The sequence below is a fragment of the Homo sapiens genome, chromosome 5 (assembly GCF_000001405.40).
Source record: "Homo sapiens chromosome 5, GRCh38.p14 Primary Assembly".
Taxonomy (NCBI): Eukaryota; Metazoa; Chordata; class Mammalia; order Primates; family Hominidae; genus Homo; species Homo sapiens.
This window is the reverse complement of record NC_000005.10, coordinates 112,612,865-112,631,346: the sequence shown is the minus strand read 5'-3', so window position 1 is coordinate 112,631,346 and position 18,482 is coordinate 112,612,865. Positions and strand designations below refer to the sequence as shown.

Sequence of the window (18,482 nt, the reverse complement as noted above, 5' to 3'; positions counted from 1 at the left end):
AGAAAATAAGCATCTTCTTCTCACTCACCCACATGGAGATAAAGTTTAGTTCAGTTTATCTAGCCTGAACTTGGCTTTCAGCTATTGGTTGTTTCCAAATCTGTTCCATGTGTCTCTCATCCTCCCTAAACCAGCATCTGTCTGAGGAAAGTTCTTCTCACTGAGAAAAACAGTTGTGTGAGATGGCAAACCTGACCCTCACGCACATGCTGAGTCTTCACTCACATCTTGTCCACTAACATCCCACTGGCCCAAGAGTGTCCCATGGCCAAGGTTAACATCAAGGAAGAAGAAATGTATTTCTTTCATAGAATTCTGATAGGGGAAGTAAATATTTTCTCAACAATAATCCACTATAAACTAGTATAAAAAGTTTTACTTTAAAAAGCATTAGAGTCTCTTGAAACATCCAGAGGAGGTGAATGCAAGGTCAACTTTTTTATTTAGTTAGTAATGCAATAAACGATTTATGAGTGACTACCAAATGCCAGACAGACAGATAATTAGTTATTGCCTGTCTGTAAAGAGTCCAGTCCAGAGACAGATAAGTAAATAGATAATTACAAGCAATGATACCATATAACAGAAGTGACAGAGTTATTTTTGAAAATCTAGAACAGACCAGGAAAGCAAAAAATAATGTTTGTTCTCTGTAAGCCAGAAATAATAAAGAATCCTTAAAATATGGGAGACACATGGAATCAGATTGTAAGATGAAATCAAGTCCTGGGGAACTCACTGAAGAAGATTGCTGCAAGTGATAAAAGTGGCTCCTGGAATGTTCCAGACGACAGGTTGTAGACATGAGGGCAGCAGGAAGCCTGGGATGCCTGCAGCCTGGCAACCAGTAAAATGTCTCAGCAATGACCTTCATTGGCTCAGATTGAGGCACTCATCCAATGCCTAGACCATTCTGTGACGTGGATTGGCCTGATGAGGATCATATAGTCCCACTCCTGAAGGGAAGAGGTAAGGTGGTGAGTCACATGAACAAACAGTGTAGGAGGCAATTTCCCAAGGGAAAATCAAGGTTCTGGCAAAAGGACAGATGTCCTCCACCCTGGAATACTATACAGATTTAAACATATTTATTTATACTTATTTGGAAATACCTTCAATATAGTTGCTGGGTAAAATTTTTAAATGCAGGATATTTTATACAGAACATTTATGTGATTCAGTCATATATTTTTGTATGTACAGGAATATATCTGAAAAGGCATGTAAACACAATAGAAGGCTTACACATCAAACTCCTAGCAATAGCCAGTACTCACCTTGAGGAGGGGACTACAATTGGGGATGAGGTACTATAGAAAGTGACTTTGAGTTTACTTATATTGTTTGGGGCTGACTGTCTTTCTCCTTACTGGAATTCCCGAGACAATACAGTCCTGGAATAAGAGAGTGGCAGTGGGGATAAACAGCAGATGATAGTTTTGAGAGGATGCAGGCTTTGTTGACCTATGGAATGTTAGGACAGGCAGGATGTGTGGGAGAGGGATTGGTTAAGGTGACTCCCAGCTGTCTGGATAGGCATTATGTGGATGGTGGTGCCACTCACTAAGAGAGGGGGAACAGGAAAAAGATAAGTTTATGGATGAAGGTTATGAGATTGTCTGAAGACATGTTAGTTTTGAGGGTATTGTGGGGCATCCAGGTAAAGATATCCAACAGAAAATCTGGGGTCTCTACTGATGTCACACTTTTCTCTGCCCAGAAAAAGCTTTCAATGTTTCATTAAACATTTTAAAAAGAGGGTGGGCGCAGTGGCTCATGCCTATAATCCCCGCACTTTGGGAGGCAGAGGCACGCGGGTCACTTGAGGTCAGGAGTTCAAGACCAGCCTGGCCAACATGGTGAAACCCTGTCTCTACTAAAAATGCAAAAATTAGTCAGGCATGGTTGTACATGCCTGTAGTCCCAACTACTCGGAAGGCTGAGGCAGGAGAATCGCTTGAACCTGGGAGGCAGAGGTTGAAGTCAGCTGAGATTGCACCACTGCACTCCAGAGCAAAGACTCTGTCTCAAAAACCAACAAATAGCTACAACAAAAAACCCCCCAAACATTTAAAAAAGAAACTAATCCACAGAAAACAGAATATGTAGTGCTTAGTTACTTACCGAAGGAGGGGCAGCCCAGCAGGGCTAGTTGTTTCCTGGGGTCTTGGACTTCAACTCACCAGACTTTCTCTGATAAATACTATTCTCTTGTTTCATTCGCCAGGATGACATTAATGGTGTAATTTGCTATAAAGAAAGAGGCTGAAAAATTTACTCCTGGGGAGTTAAAAACAGAAGGTGCACAGAGAGGTGTGTGAGATATAAACTGCCTTGCATATAAAGGGCTCACTTGGCAGAGGATTGCTGGGGGAGAGATACAATCCTCACAGCCTGAACCTCAACTCTCAAAACTCCTCACTTCAGCCCTGACCTCCAGAGCACCCATTTCTTCCAACCGCTTGTAGAACTTTCTCTTTCATCTGCTTCAATGCTCAGAGTTTTCAGCGGCATTGACAAACAGTAAGAATCAGGACTAATGGCCATAAACCTGGATGGCAATGACATTCTGATTCCCCTGGGAACCAAGGTCTGCACCTGCCACTTCAGTGCAAGAAGCAAAGAAGTACAAAAGAGCCTTTCACCCCGGATTCTTTTTCCCCATTCTGAAAAAGGGATGCCTGGGATGCGGGGAACTTTCCTCTTCCACAACAAAAGCTGTAAACTTAAACCCACCTTGTGCCTAGCCACCAGCCTTTCTGGAAAATCTTCCCCTGCTTGTCTCTTTATGTTTCACAGCTATTGGAACTGGGTTGTTCAAAGAAGTACCTGACCTTGTTTGTCAGATGAGAAACAGAAAATGCTGACACTGAATTCTTTCATTTGCTCCTGCTGCTAACAGAGCAGTACTGCAGAATCTCAGACACTTCAGCAGCTTTGGCCAGGCTGGGGGTATAGAATAATGAATGCATAAAGCTCCTTGACAGGAACCTTCTCTCCCCTCCCAACACTGCATTCTGTGCTGAAAAGGAGGGAGGGAGGCCATTAGCAAGGAGTAAGCGCAAAATGAAGTGGTTTGGAGCCGTGCTGAGGATAAAGGCCAATTTCAGCCAATGCTGTTTGACCTGCTGGTACTGTTTTTGCTTTTTTTTTTTTTTTTTTTTTTGCTTTGTTTTTTTTGTCTGAGTCCTGCTGTTACTTTTGTCACTGGAAGAAAATGAGTCTCATAAAAACATAGGTTTTGTCTTATTCATCTCCAGGATTTAGCACAGAACCTAGACTAATGAAGGTAGATTTTAAAGAGATTATGGGGAGAGCATCTTTTGCATTTGAAAGGTAAATAGTTTTATTTTCAATTTGCAGAAAGGGAACACAGGTTTGGAGATATGAAGAGACTGGTTCAAAATACAAAGCTAGTAAATAGAGGTATCTTTGCAGATAAGCAACAGAAAACAACTCTGGCATATTTAGCCTAAAAGGTCATTAATTGGAGAGATACTGGGATACAGAGAGAATGGGAATCTAGAAACCCAAATCAGAAAAGGGACAGGTGTTAGGATAGATACAAGCATAGAGTATTGGATAGACACAGATACAACCATCCCATCTAGCAGTCAATTCACGCCAAAGTTTTTTCCCATTCTTGCTATCATTCTGCTCAAGATGGTAGAAGTGCTGGGAGAAAGTATGAGATGGACTGAGCTCAGTTCCACTTTGGAGAAGGGTGGGCAAGACATGGTTTCCAAGACTTAGAGTTTCATCGAGTCTACATACAGTGGAACAAAAATATTGTTCCCCCAAAGGAAAATGAGTTACTATCAGAAAGAGGGAATGGGCACAGAGTGCCCCCCAAATTCAAATGTTCACCCCAGAAAGCTAGAGTTCAACTCATGTACATTTGATGCCAAAGTTTGCATCCTTTCACTATGCCAGCATGGTTGTATACAGTGGTTCTTAACCAGTGGTAATTTTCTCCCTTTACCCCCAGGGACATTTGACAATGTCTGGAGGTATATTTGGTTGTTACAACTGGGAGGAGGTGCTACCGGCATCTAGCGGATAGAGGCCAGAGACGTTACCAAAAATCCTACAATGCACAGGACATCCCCACAAAAAAAAATTTTCCAGCCCAAAATGTCAACAGTGCCAAGGTTGAGAAACTCTGGTATAAACAAAGACAGGGGATTGAGGTAATACACTATAGGTTTTAGAAAGTCCAGTAATTCAATTTGGTGGAAGTATCAATTACATATGGAAAAACAAAAGAGGAAAAAACTAAAAAAAAAGCTTTAAATCAGATTTTGTGGGGCCTTGAATGCCAGCCTAGGTTGTCTAGACTGCACTTAATAGGACTGGATACCTCTTAGCCTAAAATTATATCTTCATTGACTGGGCCTGGCGGGTCTCCATGTTTATTCTGAAGTTTATTTCTAGAAGACCTTTGGAGCACGTGATCAAATGACATGAGACAGCTAATGACAAGGCCCTTACTGTCCCCAGCCTGTGCAAACAGTCAGGATCGTTCCCAAAAGTTTTGCTTCTCTATGCTTCTTATATCTCTCAAGTATATGATATTAGAAAAGTGATTGCTTCTTAGAGCGCATGCTCCTGCTAAAGAGATTAACACTATTTTCACATCCTTTCAAATCATACAGCCACCAAATAATCTTTATTCTTTCCTGGATACCCTGTTTTAAAAATTAACATATTTCACTGATTCACATTTTTTTCACATCTCTGAAATCAGGACGTACTTATGACCAATAATGTACCCAAGTTTTATTGGTAGCACTTACAAATGTTTTATATAAAATAATGGCACTTTTGATCAATGGAACTTTAAATTCAATGAAATATATTTGTTTTCTTTCATTGTCATTGGTTAAATTTTATTCACACTCATTTAAAAGAACTGGCTGTTGGCATTGTATGTGGGTATTAGTGTTGAACTCTTGCAGAGTGCTAAGGAACATACAGAATATCATGATGGAACTGGCCCCTCTCTGTCATCATTATTTTATAATTAGAATTACAGCTCTCATGTTGAACAGAAGAGGTTTGGTAACTATGCAACCATTTCCCCAGTGGGAACATCCAGGGCCTGCCCCCAGTGAAATGTTTCGTCTGTGTTTCAAAGCTTTTAAGGAGTATGTGAAAGAAACATTTATTCAGGTCGAATTGCCTTGGCATATGCTTTTGGGCTGTTCTTATTTTATACAGACTTCTTGCTCCATCATTAGATAATTTTATTTGTACAAAGGAAATGGAATAAAATTTCCTTCTACATCCTTTCTCTATTTCTCATCTTTATCTTCCAACAGGGCTTCCTCCTTTCCTTTTTCAACACCATATATCAGTAAGATTAATATGTAATGAGATCCACCCTCCTGCAATGTATCAGCCTAAGAAACAAAGGCGTAAGTAAGACTAAAGAAGGAGAGTGAAGAGATGAATAGAGGTGAAGCTTAAGCAACTGTGGATTTCCAGGAAATATTTATGAGCTAATTTAAATACTAATGAGCTGGTAGTCTGACAGCAGAGGGAAGACACAAGAGCACAGAAACTCAGCTGGGCTGCGGGTTGTCTTATATCTACACAAGCTGTACAGTAGAACAGCCACATTTTCAGCCTCCTGCTGAACAGACATTTCAAAATGCTGTTTGGTGAAAAATTGACATTTTCCCACTGATTTCAATTTTTTATTTCTATCATAGCACTTACTAATCTATTTGAATCCCAAGCTGAAGAAGATACATAGGGGCTGAATATAAAAACCACTTCACCCAACCCTTTTCTTTGAATGGCTACTGTACTGGAACGACTCTTTAAATTTTCTTTTTCTGTCCCCTTTAAGAATCCACCAAATACCCTTTCTTGCAAGTTCCTACGCAGCAGCTTGAACGGTGTCTCAAGAGTGTAGTAAGAGGTAATTTATCTGAAATTGCCTCCTGTCCCAACCTGACTGCAGAAAAATACATCAGTTGCCTATGGGTTAGAAAAGATAAAAACACTTGCTATTATAATAAAACAAATTTAACTTCCAAAGAGCTTTGTACATATATTGCCTTAAGCATGACAATCTGCTGACTTGATTCAAAATAAACAACTGGCTTTTGTGGTTCTAAATCATATTTCAAAGTTCCCCACACAGATTTGTTGTTAGGGCTTATTCAGCTGAGATTCTTTTTTTTTTTTTGGCATTTTTCCTATCATAAAGAAGCTAAGTAAGGTAAAGAGAAAAGTTGGGTGAGCAACCCAGAGAGTCTCTGGAAAAGTAGTCATTTTTAGAATTGAGGAGACTTAGGTCCCAAAAGTTAAAAAGCAGAAGCTAGGGTCATATCATCTAGAAACCCTGCACACATGCTGTTATGTGCCCCGGGGATGTGGTGGCTGGGGCTCAAATGAGGCCAGTGAGGTGCTTACCTCAGGCGCAAAATGTAAGGTGGTACTAAAAAACCTAAGAATCAAGATAATACTAATTTTATGCAATATTTTAAAAAATTAAAATTAATGCAAAAGTCAGATAGTGTGATGTCTCCATCTCTGTTCTTTTTGCTCAGATTGCTTTGGCAGTTCGGGGTCTTTTGTTTTTCTATACGAATGTTAGGATTTGTTTTTCTATTTCTGTGAAAATATCATTGGAATTTTGATAGGGATTGTATTGAATCTGTCGATTGTTTTGGGCAATATGGACATTTTAACAATGTTAATTCTTTTAATCTAAGAACATGAGATATCTTTCATTTATTTGTGTGTTTTTCTCTTTCTTTCATCAATGTTTTATAGTTTTCAGCGTACAGATCTTTCGCTTCCTTGGCTGAATTTATTCCTAAGTATTTTTTTTTGTAGCTATTGTAAATAAGATTTTTTCCTGATTTTTTTTCAGATACTTCATTGTCAGTGTATAGAAATGTTACTGATTTTTGTATGCTGATTTTTCATTTTGCAACTTTGCTGAATAGATCATTCTCAAAGGAAACTTACAAATAGCCAACAGGTATATGAAAAAAAGGTCAACATTACTAATCATCAGAGAAATTTAAATTAAAAACACAATGGGATATCATCTCACACTTGTTAGTATGGCTTTTGTCAGAAAGACAAAATGGAACTCTCGCGCACTGTTGGTGGGAATGTAAATTAGTACAGCCATTACAGAGAACAGTATGGAGGTTAATCAAAAACTTAAAAATAGAACTACCATATGATCCAACAATTTTACTACTGGATATGCATCCATAGGAAATGAAATCAGTATCTCAAAGAGACATCTGCACTTTCGTGTTCATTGCAGCATTATTCACAATAGCCAAGAAATGGAATCAACCACAGTGTCCATCAACAGATGAATGGATAAAAAAATTGTAGTATTCATTGGATGCAGTGGCTCACACATATAATTCCAACACTTTAGGAGGCTGAGCCAAGAAGGATCCCTTGAGGTCAGGAGTCTGAGACCAGGTTGGGCAACAGAGCAAGACTCCATCTCTAAAAACAATTTTTTTTTTAATTAGCTGGGCATGGTGGCACATGCCTGTAGTCCTAGATACTCAGGAGCCTGAGGCAGGAGGATCCCTTGAGCCCAGGAGTTTGAGGATGCAGTGAGCTATTATCCCAACACTGCACTCCAGCCTGGGCAACAGAGAGAGACCCTGTCCCCAAAAAAAGAAAAAGGAAAAAAAGAAAATGTGGTATATATGCACAGTGAAATTCTATTCAGCCTTGAAAATAGAAAGAAATGCCGATATTTGTGACAACATGGATGAACCTAGAGGACATTAAATAAAACAAGCCAGGCACAGAAAGACAAATATTGCATGATCTCACTTATGTGTGGAATCTTAAAAAGTTGAACTAATAGAAATAGAGAATAGAAAGGTAATTGCCAGGGACTGGGGAGATATTGGTCAAAGGATACAAAATTTCAGCTAGATAAGAGGGATAATTTCAAGAGTTCTATTGTACTACTTGGTGACTACAGTAAATAATAATGTGCTATATTCTTGAAAATGATTAAAAGTAGATTTTAAGTGTCCTTACCACAAAAAAGAGATAAGTATATGAAGTAATACATATATTACTTAGCTCAATTTAGCCATTCCACAATGTATACATATTTTCAAACAACATGCTATATACTGTAAATATATAAAATTTTTGTTGGTCAATGAAAAAAATAAATACTTTTAAAGTTTCTATTCTTTAACCTATCTAGGAATTTATATTTTAAAGTGATCATCAGAAATGCAATATATCACGAATGCAATGAGCCTAAGTGCTCATCATTGTAGTATTTTCAAGAGCAAAAGTGGACACATATTACATATTCAAAATTAGGGGAAGCAATAACTAAATCATAGTTCAGCCATACGGTGAAATTTTGCCATCATTCGTACAGTAGAAAGGCTAATGGAATAAGGTACATCACTTAGGATAGCAAACCAAGGGGTTCAAATAATAATGATACTCATTATCTCACATAATAAGAATTTGGGAGGTAGGAAAAAAGGCAGAGTTAGTTATTCTGGCAAAGACTGATTTTTGTCATCTAATGTTTATTCTCATTTTTTCTCAGAAAGAGGACGCTGACTTTTTGATGGGCACATGGCCACCCTCAAAATGACGACTTTTCCCAGCATCTATAAATGCTAAATACAGGTCAATGTGATATAAACTAAAATATCATACAACTTCCAAAAACCTTAACAGATAATCTACCTTGCTTAACAGTGAAGAAAATGTATTCTCATTTAAACAGAAGTCCAGAGGGAGGTGGCTGCAGGATGGTTAATTCAACAAGTCAATGATACCCACCAGGTTTTAGGATGCATCTTCCTGCACTGTCAAGTGCAGCAGTTGGCTTCATCTTTGATTGCCTTCTCTCACAGGTAGAAGGCTGCCTTGGTTCCTGGAGGCCCATGCAAATCTAAAAATGCCTCTCAAAAGGAAACGAGGGGATTTCCCCCCCTTTTTATTCTCATAAGAGTGAAGACTGGGCAATATGGTGAAACCCCATCTCTACAAAAATTCAAAAATTAGCTGGTAATATTTTGGGCTAGCATTGAAAAAAAAAAAGAACAACAACAGCAAAATTAGCCAAGTGTGGTGGTATGCACCTGTAGCTCCAGCTATTCGGGGATGCTGAGGTGAGAGGATCACTTGAGCCCAGGATGTCGAGGCTGCAGTGAGCTGTGATTGTGCCACTGCACTCCAGCCTGGGTGACAAGGTGAGACCCTGTGTCAAAAAAAAAAACAAAAACAAAACTTTTTTGAAGAAGCCTTCCAGCAGAACTTCTCCACATTTCCACATCTCATTGGCTAGAACTAGATCACAGACCACCATGAAACCAATCACTGAGAGAAGAATGGAATGATGATGGGAGGCTTAAGTTAACCAAGATTTACCGTAAGTCATACAAAGGAGAGATAGTCACCCAAGCAAAGTTCGGGCTTGGCAGTGAGGAAGATGGAAGAAATCGCTGTCAGCTGGGAAGCCTGCAGCATCTGCTACAATGTCAATTATGGGTTGTCAGGCATTGGGTGGAAAATATATCACTAATCTCTGTATCAGGTTCATCGTTTATCAGCACAGGAAATGGCCATGGTGTTATGTAAGACAAATTGCAAAAATCTTCAATGAAACAATATAGTTAGGTCCATACCTGCCAGCTGGCAGCAGGATAAATTCCAAATAGATCATAGAACTAAATGTGAAAACTTTACTGCTATTAAATGAACACACTGGAGAACACCAGGAGCAAAGCCACAAGATAATTGATTAACTGAGGAAGAAATTGTAATTCATATCATAGATAATCAGCTAATCTCCTGATTGTATAAGAACTCCTAGAAATTAGTAAGAAAAAAAACCATCAATATACAGAATAACATAGAAAAAACAAAGGATATGAACATCCAACTTGCAAAAAAGACCACAAAGATTTCTTAAACATATGAAAACTTGTTCAACTGTGCTTCATTTATATAAAGAGAAATGAACATTAAAACTATCCTAAGATATCATTGCCAGCTATTAGATGGGCAAAAATGCCAAAATTTGATACCATACTCTGTTGGTGGTTTTAGAGAAGCAGTCACTATCATCAAGAGCCAGAGAGAATATAACTCCTATGGAGGGCAATTTGGCAATATATGTTAGATGCCTATACCCTTTGGTCCAGCAGTTCTGTTTCTGAAAATGCAGTTGTGGATTCTATAGATTCTACATTTTACAGATGTATTTAATTACATGCCAAAAGATTTTTCAGGACTAGTATTTAACTGAAGCACATAAGACCTGATATAGTTTGGATATTTGTCCCCTCCAAATCACATATTAAAATGTGATCCTCAATGTTGGAGGCAGGGTCCAGTGGGAAGTGTTTGAGTCAGGAGGGCAGATCCCTCATGAATGATTTGGTGCTATTCTCATGGGATTGAGTGAATTCTCACTCTTAGTTCCCATGAGCTATGCCAGTTAAGAGTCTGGCACCTCCCTCCCCTCTCTCTTTCCTCCTCTTTGCCAAGTGATTCCAGCTCCTCTCCCCTTCTGTCATGAGTGGAAGTTTCCTGAGGCCCTCACCAGAAGCAGATATTGGTGCCACACTTCTTGTACAGCCTGCAGAACGATTTTTGTAAATCGTAAAGAAATTTGTAAATTTCTTTACAAATTACCCAGCCTCAGGTATTCCTTTACAGCAGTGCAAATGGACTAAGACAACACCCAACTGGTTGGTTCATGCCTGGTACTCCCCTAAAAGGTTGATGACCATGGTATACTTAAATTGGAAAACATTAAATATTACCCCTGTAGGTATGTAGGAGTATATTTTTTTTTGTAGAAAAATAATGGAAATAATCCAAATAGCCAGCAATAGTGGACTAGTTAAATAAATTATGGTGGTCCTTAAAATTGAATAATATGCAGCCACACAAAGGAATGACATCTCATTCTGTTCTGACTGCTGTAAGAAATACCATTAACTTGGTGGCTTGTAAACATCAGAAATTTATTTCTCACTGTTCTGGAGGCTGGGAAGTCCACGATCAAGTTGCCAGCAGATGTCGGTGTCTGGTGAGGGCCTGCTTCCTCATAGGCAGCTCTCTCCTCCTTCCAACCTCATATGGTGGAAGGAGTGTGGGGTCTCTCATGGCTTCTTGTATGAGGGCATGAATCTCATTCATGAGGGCTCTGCTCCTCTGACCTAATCTCTTCCCAAATGTCACACCTTCTATTACCATCATTGCATATCATTTTCACTATATATCATTTATTTGTCTTTTGGTTTTTTAATGTATTTAGTAAAAATAGGCTGGGCGTGGTGGCTTATGTCTGTAATCCCAGCACTTTGGGAGGCCGAGGTGGGCGGATCAGGAGGTCAGGAGATCCAGACCATCCTGGCCAACATTGTGAAACCCCATCTCTACTAAAAAATACAAAAATTAGCTGGGCGAGGTGGCGCATGCCTGTAATCCCAGCTACTTGGGAGACTGAGGCAGGACAATTGCTTGAACCAGAGAGTCAAAGGTTGCAGTGAGCTGAGATCGCACCACTGCACTCCAGCCTGGCGACAGAGTGAGACTCTGTTTCAAAAAAAAAAAAAAAATTATACAATGGTTTACTGTTGCCTACCTTCACATTCCAAATCCTGAGCTTGGCATTCAATTCAATTCACAATTTAGCACAAATCAACCTTTCCACAGCTGATTCCTGCTATTGCTCCTCCCCTCCTGCCCCCCACTGCCATCCCTAGAACATCTCCCTAAAGGTAATCACTATGAACAATGTTAACTTTAGAAAAAAGTGATATGCATATGCCTATGTTTCTATTATATACATATATCATTTTGAAAAAATGTACACATAGGCTGGGCACAGTGGCTCATGCCTGTAATCCCAGCACTTTGGGAGGCTGAGGTGGGTGGATCCCCTGAGGTCAGGCATTTGAGACCAGCCTGGCCAATATGGTGAAACCCCATCTTTACTAAAAAGACAAAAAATTAGCCAGGCATGGTGGTGTATGCCTATAGTCCCTGCTACTTGGGAGGCTGAGGCAGTAGAATCCCTTGAACCTGGGAGGCAGAGGTTGCAGTGAGCCGAGATTGTGCCACTGCACTCCAGCCTGGGTGACAGAGCGAGACTCTGTCTCAAAAACGAAAAAAAAGTACACATTGGATCATTTTTCATTTATTACATATCTATAAGAATTTTCTATAAGAATTTTCTGCCGGGCACGGTGGCTCACACCTGTAATCCCAGCACTTTGGGAGGCTGAGGCGGGCGGATCACGAGGTCAGGAGATCGAGACCATCCTGGCTAACACGGTGAAACCCCATCTGTACTAAAAATACAAAAAATTAGGTGGGCGTGGTGGCGGGTGCCTGTAGTCCCAGCTACTCGGCAGGCTGAGGCAGGAGAATGGTGTGAACCCAGGAGGGGGAGCTTGCAGTGAGCTGAGATCGCACCACTGCACTCCAGCCTGGGCCACAGAGCGAGACTCCATCTCCAAAAAAATATAAAGAATTTTCTGTATTATAAATTTTTTTCCATTTATTTATATGTCTTGTGATTTTATATATCAGGATTTTTTAGTGACTAAATAATATTCTATCACCTGGATATATCATAATTTACTTATTTTTCTGGTTGTACAGTTAATGGAGACAATCAAAATAGCCAGCAATAGTGGACTGGTTAAGTTGTTTCTATTATAGTTTTTGTTGATATATGCAATGCTGCAATAAATTTCTTGACATATTTTTGCCATGTCAATATGGAATTGTCAGGAAAGTATGTGCATTTAAAATTTTTATTGATATTGTCAACTTGCTTTTATAAAAGTCATACAAACACTCTTTTCTCTGAAAGTGCTCCTTTCCTCATTTTCTCACTAATATTGATTCTGAAACTTTAAAAAATTGCCTGATGGGCAAATTTTTTTTAATGCTTAGTTTGTATTTCCTTAATTATAAGAGTGAACATCTTTTTTACATGTAAATAGGAATTTGTATTTCTTTTTCCCTAAACTGTTTATTTTAGTTATGTAGAATCAAATGAAGTCATCTTTTCTGTTATGACTCCAGGGTTTAGGGTTGTGTTTATTTATTTTATTTAATAAATTTTTTTAGAGACAGAGTCTTCCTCTGCTGCCGAGGCTGGAGTGTATTGGCATGATCCTAGGCTCACTGCAGCCTTGAATTCTTGGGCTCCAGTGGTCCTCCTGCCTCATCCTCCCAAGTAGCTGGGACTACAGGCATGCACTACTATGCCTGGCTAATTTGTTTTGTAATTTTTTGTATAGATGGGGTCTCACTATATTGCCTAGGCTGGTCTTGAACTCCTGGCTTCAAGTGCTCCTCCCTCCTTGGCCTCCCAAAGCACTGGAATTATAGGTGTGAGCCACTGCACCTGGCTTAGGCTTGTGTTTAGAAAGGCTTTTTTCTATTTCCACATGACAGACACACACAAATTTGATATTTTCTTCTCGTCAATTATAGATTTTAAAGTGTTTAAATCTTTAATTCATCTGGATTGAGGAGAGTGGTAGTATATCCTGAATGGTAACATTGTAATTTAATTTTTTTCCAAGTCTCAACACAACTTCCCTAATAATCTATACCTTCTTCACAGATTTGAATCACAAAATGTATTACATACTAAATTTCCATAGGCATATGAGTCTTGTTCTGGGCTCTCTGTTTGGTCCCATCCGCCTGAATAGCTCTTCTCACCTACTACCACACCGCTGAAGTTACTATAGCTTGACAGCAAGTTTTTCATCTGATAAGGTGGGTCGCCATCTCAGAAGTCTTTCACCCCTTCCCCGAAAGATTCTCAGCTTTTTCAGCACATTTAATCTCCCAGATGAACTAACAGATTAATTTGAGGGAAATGATATTTTATAGTATTGAGTCTTTGTGACTCCAAAGTCCAGTGCTCAAAATGTCACACGAAATTACTAGACAGTTACTTAGTGAATATGAGACCAGATCGTTGTGGACATTTCTGACTGGATTAGTTGCACAAGTCATCTGACTCTATAACAAAATCGTGCAATTCTCCCCTTTATTGTACAGACATGTGAGAATTATCTGGGTATCAGAAAAATTGGGCCAAGAGCAAAAAATGAACAGTCCGTCCATATCCTTCAGTAATATTTTAAGTAGAAAAATTAATGCTTCACATCCTGTGCAAAATGAAAGTGGAGCTGCAGCCACAATCAATACCGCTGCTCATGTGCACTGCAGGCTGTGTCTTGGGCGTAGAACTCCTGGCTCCTGGCCATAACCAATACAGGAATAAATGCCATTTAATTTCACCCAGCTGTTCCTGGGGCCTTCCATGGGTGGGTCTGCCAAGGGGTGTTTCATTTGATTCACAGGCAAAAAAATGTGCCCCTGAATTACTTGGTACAGAGCCAGATTTGCTAGGACTTCCTAAACACCCTGCTGTAGAGAAGAAGCCACCAAGAATGCTCACATCATGGACCAAATCCAGCCCAAGGTATTCTTCTTGCGGCTCTGCTGGTTTGTTGCAGTGTGCTAAACTTGCACTTTATTTTATACTGAAAAACCAATGTGTTCAGTATAAAATTTTTCCAACATATGGGGTTAAAAAGACAGTGTTACATATTTAAATAAATGAAGTGAAACGATCAGATAGAAATTATACTTTATATAGTATTTAAGGTGATATTAACCTACATAAATTAGTATAATGGAAGAGAATGTAATGCTCTTATTTTAAAAACAGAGAACTTTTGCTTGACTGCAGGCAACAGAATTGATACATGTTGTATACGTGTGTATTCAGGTGCCAAAAAAGTGATTTCCGGTTCTGCGAAGAATAGTCATTTTCCATTTCACGTAAATATAATTCCAGTATTACGTTTCAAAATTATCTTTCTTTCCTTGGGAAAACAAACAAATGCAGGGACCTTGTGATGATTTGCTTTTTGCTGTTGTTTATCTCGTTTTGATGCTCCCAAGACTATGTTAGAAGGTTCAGAAATTGTGCATGATGCCCAAGATTATATTGAGAGTGGCTATTGACCAAAGCTATGTGACATAGTAGAATTGGGAGGAAAATTGATGACAAAGAAATTTGTGCAAGAAGTATGTGGATAGACCTCTCTGAGTGGGCAAAAAAACAAAAACAAAAAACCCACAAAAATGTTTGTGTCCCATGTGAGTGCTCACCAAATGGTGACCTCAGCAAAGGGTGATTTTAGTAATTAAGTGGATAGGTTGACCCATTCTGTGACTGCCAGTCAGCCTCTTACCCCAGCTCTCCCTGTCAGTGCCTGATGGGCTCATGAGCAAAGCAGTTATGGTGACAGGGATGAAGGTTATACATGAGCTCAGTAACCCAGACTTCTACTCACCAAGGCTGACCTGGCTACATCTACTGCTGAGAGACCAATTAGCCAGCAGCAGAGAGCAACACGGAGGCCCCGATATGGCATCATTCCCCATGATCAACCAGCTACCTGGTGGCAGATTGATTACATCGGACCACTTGGAAGGAGCAGTGTTTTTTCCTTGCTGGAGTAGATACTCTGGATTTGTCTCCTCTGAAAAACACAATGCTTTTGTCAAAACTACAATTCATGGATTTACAGAATGCCTTATCCACCATCATGATATTCCATGCAGCATTGCTTCTGACCAAGGAACTCACTTCACAACCAAAGAAGTGCAGTAATGGGCTCATGCTCATGGAATTCACTAGTTTTACCTTGTTCCGCACCATCCTGAAGGAGCTGGCTTGATGGAACAGTGGATGGCCTTTTTGAAGACTCGTAGTGCCAGGCAGGTGGCAATACCTTGCAGGGCTGGGCAGGGTTCTCCAGAAGGCTGTATATGCTCTGAATCAACATTCAATATGTGGTGCTGTTTCTTAGACAGCCAAGATTCATGGGTCCAGGAATCAAGGGGTGTAAATGGGAGTGGTACCTCTCACTATTACTCCTAACACTCATTAGTGACTCACTAACAAAAGTTTTACTTTCTGCTACCAAGACTTTATGCTCTGCTGGCATAGAAGTCTTAGTTCCTGAGGGAGAATTGCTTCCACTAGGAGACATTAGCAACGATTCAACTAAAGTGTAACTTAAGACTGCCACTTGATGACTTTGACTCTTCATGCCTCTGAATCAACAGGAAAAGAAGGGAGTTGTGAGTTGTAGTGTTAGCTGGGGTGATTAATCCTGACTACCAAGGGGAAATTGCACTACTACTCCACAATGGAGGTAAGGTAGAGTGTGTCTGGAATACAGGAGATTCCTTAGAGTGTATCTCAGTATTACCATGCCCTGTGATTAAGGTCCATGGGAAACTATAACAAACCCAATCCAGGCAGGACTACTAATGGCCTAAATTCTTCAGGAATGAAGGTTTGGGTTACTTCATCAAGGCAAAGAGCTATGACCAATTGCCTCTACCTGGTCTCTCTTTTGACACATGGGGATTATGGGGATTATGAGGATTACAATTCAAGATGAAATTTGGGTGGGGACACAAAGCCTCACCATATCAGCCCCCATGATCCAAACACCTTCTACCAGGCCCCACCTCCAACACTGGGGATTACATTTCAACATGGGATGGGGGTGGGGACAAATATCCAGATTAATCACTGAGTAAAGCAGATGACCCTCCCCCATGCGGGTGGGCATCCAATTCATTGTGGTTCAGAATAGAAGAAAAAGGTGGAGGAAGGGCAAATTCACTCCCTCTGCTTGAGCTGAGACATCCATCTCCTATTCTTGTACCTCAGCACTCCTGGTTCTTAAGCTATCAGATGGGGACCAGGACTAACCCCATCAACCACTTAGACTCTCACATGCAGACTGAATTTCACCACTGGTTTTTCTGGTTCTCCTGCTTGCAGATGGCAGGCCGTGGCACTTCTTGGCTTTCATAACCACATGAGCCAATTCCTATAATAAATCTCTTCATATATCTCTCTATATATCCTACTGGTTCTGTTTTTCTGAAGAACCCTGACTAATACAACGCCCCACCCGGATCCCCTATTTCTGGGCTGGAGCTTGCAACCCCCATTCACTATGGGTGTTTGCTGCTAGTAATGGTGGGCAGCTGCACCTGTCTTAGGGAAACTGCCCATAGTCCATGGGAACCATTTCGTCCACAGAAGCCAGGGAGGTTATGATCCCCTCTGCCCTGAAGGGTGGCCTGTGGCCAATCACTAACTGATAGGGGGTGGTATAAAAGCCTAGCTCCCTTGCCTCACAGTAGAACAAACTAGTACAATTCATGCTGCAGAGTTCCCCATGACATCAGGCTAAGGCTAAACTTTTCCTTAAACCACATCTTTTCTTAACTTCCATTCCCCTTCTGCTTTTCACTCCCTTACAGGTTTTTTTCTGTCTCATTGTCTCAGTCAATTGCCTGCACAAGAATCTCCATCTCTGGTTTTGCGTCCAAAGAACTTGTCCTAAGGTATATTTCCAAATAGAATGGGAGAAATCTTCCCCAACAATATAATGACTTGCCTTTGAGAACAAAGTGGTTAAGTCCCAAACACTAGTTTGAAACTCTTAATATGCCTCCAACTCCACCTGAAACATACTAATCTGTCAATTGGTCAGCAGTTACTACAGACATCAATGTGGACACACTGTTCACAGACAGAGGTCTTTATTGGAATAGAAATGTCTTAAAATCCAGCAGAGTTGCAAACAGGAACTCATCCTTCATGGAAAAGTCACAGTTATTAGCCACTGGATAATTCATCTGTGATAGCAGGTTGGGAAAGAATGTGAGTCTAGTGTCATGCACACACATTTAGGTAATAACCTAGCAATAGCAGAATTCTCAGAGATGAATAGCATAATAATAATAATTGCTGCCTATTATTCGTCACAGGCAGAGTGCTAGGCATTTTATTCCAAGGGTTTTCACTACACAACTCTATGGTTACCCAGTTAGCAGAGCAAGGACCCCATTCAAGTGTGATTTGTCCAAGGTATTGCTCTTCATAGCTACGAAATCAGGTTAAAAGATGATGGAAGTCAGGTTAAAAGACGATGGTACAATGGCTGGAACTCCTCCCTCTTGAGTGAAAGATCAGTCCTTTCCTTTTCAAAACAGTGAAGGTAATCATCATTTCCACCTTCTTAAGGTCTTTTTCTTCATTCCAAGCACTTTAAGTCTCTTTTATGTTTCAATTTAATGTACTTCCTGTTCACTAGAAGCAACACTTTTAGCTGAGCTACTAAAAGCAAGAATGTATTAATTAAACATTAACACTTTTTGAAGTCAAGTATACTCTAGAAGTGGCAGACAGTGAAAACCTGAGATATAATTACCTCTATCTTCTTTTTGGAACTCATTTGCCTGGAATATTTACACATTTCAGCAGGTTCCCTTCTCCCTGCAGCTGGAGTGCTGGGTTCTTAGGTACGTATCCCAGCTTTCTTTGAGATGTAGAGGGCTCTTAGAAATGTATTTACTTACCG

At 40.0% G+C, this 18,482-nt stretch overlaps 1 long non-coding RNA gene across 1 annotated transcript; it reads right to left on the bottom strand.

Moving 5' to 3' along the window:
• Positions 1–425: 425 nt before the first annotated feature.
• LINC02200 (long intergenic non-protein coding RNA 2200) lies at positions 426–2,911 on the bottom strand. Its single transcript, NR_104672.1, has 3 exons — positions 2,737–2,911; positions 2,125–2,250; positions 426–956 (listed from the first exon to the last, which is right to left on the bottom strand). It is a non-coding gene; the product is annotated as a long intergenic non-protein coding RNA 2200 (long non-coding RNA).
• Positions 2,912–18,482: the final 15,571 nt, after the last annotated feature.